Genomic DNA, 5,638 nt, shown 5'->3' on the forward strand with positions numbered 1-5,638 from the left:
CTCACCACAGAAAACATTCCTGAGATGAACATTTTCCATGAAAATCGATTAGCATTTTAAAATCTCATGTGTTACATTTTTATCTTTTATTCCTTCTCCCAGAAAAACACAACAATATCTTTAAATGGAATATTAAAAGCTTCCTTTTCGGAGAACATCAGCAGTATTTCTCCAATAGCTTGTAATAATACTAAGTAGGAAAGAACAGTGCACTGAATCACAGTCTTGCACTGTTATACAATCACTTAAGGTCAGTTACATAAGGAAATAGATAAATAAAGCAAAAGGAAACTTGTATCACATTTGTGAAAAATGCCAAGCTACATAGAATGGAACTGGCACTCAGTTAACAGTTGGCTTTATTCAGGGTCTTATTGATGACCCATCGGCCTTGCAGGCTATTCATGAAGTGAGCTCTTTTAGGTTACTTATGCCTTATGATTACAGAGCAAATAAGAGAAGAAATTCATTTCTAGTAATTAAACATGATATTACTAATTTCTTAAAGGCTTTACTAGGTCTCAAGATCTTGAAATGTCTGACTTTTAAAAAATAAAAGTGAAAATCCAAGATGTGAAAGAATCCATTTCAAAAAATAACAATTTATTAATTTTTTTCAATTTTATTTTAGATTTGGGGTACATGCACAGGTTTGCTACCTGGCATATTGCATGATGCTGAGATTTGGGATATGAATGAAAGGATCAGTTTTGATAGCCCCCTCTCTACTGACATTTTATGAGCAGGGAACTAGTGAGGAAGAATAGAGACATCACTAAATTTGGACTTAGGAAATATGATCTTGGGTCCCAGGCTTCTCTTATTAATTCTGTGATTTTGGACAGGCCACTACTTAACCTCTTTGGGCCTCAGTTTCTCTTTATAAAATGTAGACAGTATTCCCTGTCCATGTCAAAGGGCTGTTAAGCAAGCAAAATGAAACAATACATGTTAAAGTGCTTTGTAAAAGAGTGTTACACAAATATAAAATGTTTCCATTCTTGAGTTTCTTCCTAATAAGGCACATAAAGAATATATTCTGGAGGAATAGGGTTTGGGTAGTCAAGAATTTGGACATAATCTTTTGTAAGTCCTGCTCTTGATCATGATCCTCTCAGTTGCTAAAGGGATTAAGTTAGACACTTACAGAGGTGTAGTTTTTTCAACCACTTACATACACTTCTCAAGAGATCAGAACAATTGTTCCATCTCTTCAACAATCTGAAAGAAAAAGCTATGACCCTTTGTTTTCTAAGGGCCAAATATAGGCCATGTAACAATTAGATTTCATTTAACTGTCAAGAACACCCAGTTTCACACACAATTAAAAGAGAATCTGGAAAGATGCATAATGGACCGTTTGTTGGAGGGGAATATTTAACCTTATACTGATTGTATTTAAATCATGCATTTTGTTTAGAATTCAAGAGGGTATTATCGGGGTAGTGAGAACTGAGGAGAACAGGAGATTCTTTAATTGCTGCAATTCTTTATTTACTTCCTTTCCAGGGCTGTGCAGATGGATTCAATGTAGAGATCAAAGGCAAAACCTTTATAAGGCATATAAACTGAAATTACTTTTGCACCAACCTAATAGTTTATGTCCATTTTCAGAAGGGCAAGAGGGGAGCTTTAAGAGGCTAAATGACATATTAATTTATTGCACTGAAAAGTGGGATCTTGGCTGCTTATCTTAAAGCTGTATCTGACAAATATAAAATAGAGATATAAGACCGTTAGAGGAATGGTAGCAAAAAAGTTCCCCCACTTAGTAATGACCAGCTAAATATTCATGTAGCAAACATTTGGCCTGAATTATACTGATAATTGCATCAGTCCTCTATTTGACTTTGCATGTATAAACAAAGACTGGTAAATCTAATCTAGACATCGGAACCATGTTGCTGAGCTTACAGCTATTTATGTGCTTTAAGGCACTGAACTAAACATCCCATTAAGCCTTTGAAGGTTTAAGAATGGAACCACTCTTGATTTGGTTTACTTTCATCCTTAACTTTCCATGCAAACAGTACTCAAAAGAGCAAACAGCAGACTGACTGTTGATCTCAGTCTGTGTTCTAATTCTAGTTGCAAATTTGCATCAACAGTTTCACATTACTGAGTTAATCATTTTCGCTTTTTGCCAGGTCAAAATATTAATACTGGTGTTTCCTGGAGTGGCACATAAGTAATTCAATAAACACAAACTAATACAGATGCAGAGGATCAGTGCCATGTCTCTGGTTCCACCAAACGTTGAATTTCCCAATAAAGAGCTCATGATTAGGCTGTGACTAAATGAATGAGCTTTGTAAAAGAGTACAGATCTCAAAAAATGTGGAGGTTGCATTCAATTACATTTGTGAATGTTAGGAGACTGTCAACTGCCTTTGGAGTCCAAGGAGAGAGCCAGCAGACACCCTTCTCACCACCCTGGGCTTTTCATGAGAGTGGCACTGCAATATCATCATCCTAGCTTAGGGGAATTGGTGTGCAATAAGCAAGAGGCAGGACTTGGGAGTCAGGAAGGTTTGAATCCTCATTCTGCTATTTACTACAAATGATGTAACTCTTTGGAGCCTCATTTTACTGTGTGAAATGGAAACATGAGTTTTATGAGAAGTAAGTGAGTGAACATAGGTAAAGTGCCTAGAACAATGCCTGGCCCAGAAATGGCATTCAGTACACACTGCTTCCCTTCTCTTCCGACAGGTTCCTGGAGACAAAGGAAAAGGGATATCTGGTGAGGCAGTAGAGGTCTAGTTCATCCACTTAGAGATCATAGAGTCCTCCAGGTCGCAGGACTGGATGCTGAGATCTGGGTTTCGGTCCTCCATGTGGGTTCATCTAACCCTCTTCCTCTACCTCCCGTTTCAGTTTGCAACTAGGTATCAGGTGACACCAGGACCTATCAGAAGTGCAGGTGTCCATTCAGGTGCCTTAAGGACATTTTTCTTAGTCTTGTGTCTCCTGGAGAAGGATCCTTCATTATTTGTGTCCAAAGAATACTGCACCTCAAAGGAAATTAAAAAAAAAAAAAAGTCTGAAGTTGTTCTTTTAATAGATGGTGTAAGAAGTGGGATTTATTTACAGGATCTATTTCCTTAAAGTTTCAGTTTGATCATGTCACATTTAGCATAAGCGACTCCATTTTTGTTTGGCCTAGTCTGTTGGGGTCTGGTACATGAGCTTTGTCCAAAACAATGGCCTCTCATAATTGTGTTAACAATTGGCAGGGCTCTCCTATCTTACCTGATACCTGGCCTGAGGATAATACTCTGTAATCCTTAAAACTTGGAACATTTCAAGGGCTTGCCTGAGTTCTCACTTTTTGTCTCCCCACCACATGGGAGCAGATCTCCTGGGCCTTCACTTCTCTGTGGTCTAAGGGAAGACTGGGAGTATAATTTGTTGCCTTATAATTTTGGGCCCAAAGGGTATACTTCTTAAGGGAAGGGACTTTGGGAATGGTGATGACTGACACATTGACTGAGCTCATATTTCAGATAAAGTTATATTCTCCATTTCAGAGAGTGATCTTGTTTTCACAAAGGTGAATGCTGCAAACATATAATCAGCATAACATTGAAACAGTAAAGTAACAGAGGTTATTTCTGTCTCAGAAAAATATCATGTGAATAGATGCCCAAACTAGAATGGTATATTTGGAGGATAGCAATAGCTGAGTGTGGCTGAAGTCCAGGGTGGTGTGGAAGAAAATTAAATGTAAAAGTAAGTTTTAATTATAAAATAAAGAATCTTAAAGATAATGATGGAACTCCAACAACTCCAGCCATGGGCTCAGGGACAGAACTCTGATCTCCCTGGGCCTCAGCCCCTAGGGGGAGGGGTGGCTGTAGTCTCTGCGGACCAGTAAGAGGTGAAGCCAGCTGGACTTCTGGGTCAGGTAGGGACTTGGAAAACTTTTCTGTCTTACAAGAGGATTGTAAAATGCACCAGTCAGCACTCCATAGCTAGGATTGTTAAATGCACCAATCAGTGCTCTGTGGCTAGCTAGAGGTTTGTAAAATACACCAATCAGTGCTCTGTAAAAACGCACCAATCAGCACTCTGTGGCTAGCTAGAGGTTTGTAAAATGGACCAATCAGCACTCTGTAAAATGGACCAATCAGCAGGACGGCGGGAACAAACAAGGGAATAAAAGTTGGCCACCTCAGGCAGCAGCGGCAACCCGCTCGGGTCCCCTTCCATGCTGTGGAAGCTTTGTTCTTTTGCTCCTCACAAGAAATCTTGCTGCTGCTCACTCTTTGGGTCCATGCCACCTTTGAGAGCTGTAACACTAACTGCAAAGGTCTGTGGCTTCATTCTTGAAGTCAGCAAGACCACGAACCCACCAGAAGGAAGAAACTCTGGACACATCTGAAGGAACAAACTCTGGACACACCACCTTTAAGAACAATAACACTCACTGTGATGGTCCGCAGCTTCATTCTTGAAGTAAGTGAGACCACGAGCCTACCAGAAGGAACAAACTCCAGACACACCAGCAGACTTAGTCTTTCGTCCTTCTAGTTCTGAGGAATCCAGGCATCCCAGGCCAGTGGGTTTACCCCCAGTGAAGCACACCTCCTCCATCAAGGGACAGCCAAAATGTTCATTAAATGGGTCATGCTCCCTGTGCCACCCAAGTGAGACCCTCCAACAGGGGCTGTCAGACACTCTAAACAGGAGCATTCCTACTGGCATCAGGTTGGTGCCCCTCAAGGTCAGAGATCCAAGAAGAAGGAGCACACACTCATCTTTGCTGTTCTCCAACCTCCTTGAGTGACATCTCCGGGTGCGGAAGTGAACCAGATGAATAGGGCCTGAAGAGAATCCCAGAAAACCGGAACAGCCCTACAGAAGAGGGACCTGATAATTGAAAGAAAAACAAACAGAAAGCAACAACAACAGCATCAACAAAAAAGTCCCCTCAAAAACCTCATCCCAGGGTCAGTAACCTCAAAGATCAAAACTAGACAAACTCATGAAAATGAGAAAGAATCAATGAAAAAATGCTGAAAATCCAAAAGGTCAGTGTGACTCTTCTCCTCCAAATGATTGCAACACCTCTCTAGCAAGGGCATAGAGCTGCACAGAAGATGAGATGGACAAATTGACAGAAGTAGGCTTCAGAAGATGGGTAATAACAAACTCCACTGAACTAAAGGAGCATGTTCTAACCCAATGCAAAGAAGCTAAGAACCTTGATACAAGGTTACAGGAGCTGCTAACTGGAATAATCAGGTTAGAGAGAAATATAAATGACCTGATAGAGCTGAAAAACGTAGCACGAGAACTTTGTGAAGCATACACAAGTACCAGTAGCCAAATTGATCAAGCAGAAGAAGACCATCTTGCTGAAGTAAGGCATGCAGACAAGATTAGAGAAAAAAGAATAAAAAGGAATGAACAAAACCTCCAAGAAATATGGGACTATGTAAAAAGACTGAACCTATGATTGATTGGAGTACCTGAAAGAGACAGGGAGACTGGAACCAAGTTGGAAAACACACTTCAGGATATTATCCAGGAGAACTTCCCCAACTTAGCTAGACAGGCCAACATTCAAATTGAGGAACTACAGAGAACACCACTAAGATACTCCATGAGAAGATGAACCCCAAGACACATGATC

General features: G+C 40.3%; 2 annotated features.

Annotated features, from left to right (window-relative positions):
- Window positions 2,167-2,216: an enhancer, noted in NCBI's record as "active region_7716". NCBI's record gives its function as "activates an Ori minimal core promoter by ATAC-STARR-seq in GM12878 lymphoblastoid cells {active_cell/tissue: GM12878}" and the evidence as "EXISTENCE:reporter gene assay evidence [ECO:0000049][PMID:35858748]".
- Window positions 3,979-5,178: an enhancer, noted in NCBI's record as "BRD4-independent group 4 enhancer chr13:47676673-47677872 (GRCh37/hg19 assembly coordinates)". NCBI's record gives its function as "activates an origin of replication core promoter dependent on BRD2, P300/CBP, MED14 and CDK7 cofactors, and independent of BRD4, by STARR-seq in HCT116 cells {active_cell/tissue: HCT116}" and the evidence as "EXISTENCE:reporter gene assay evidence [ECO:0000049][PMID:35650434]".

Source organism: Homo sapiens, chromosome 13, assembly GCF_000001405.40.
Source record: "Homo sapiens chromosome 13, GRCh38.p14 Primary Assembly".
NCBI classification, from domain to species: Eukaryota; Metazoa; Chordata; class Mammalia; order Primates; family Hominidae; genus Homo; species Homo sapiens.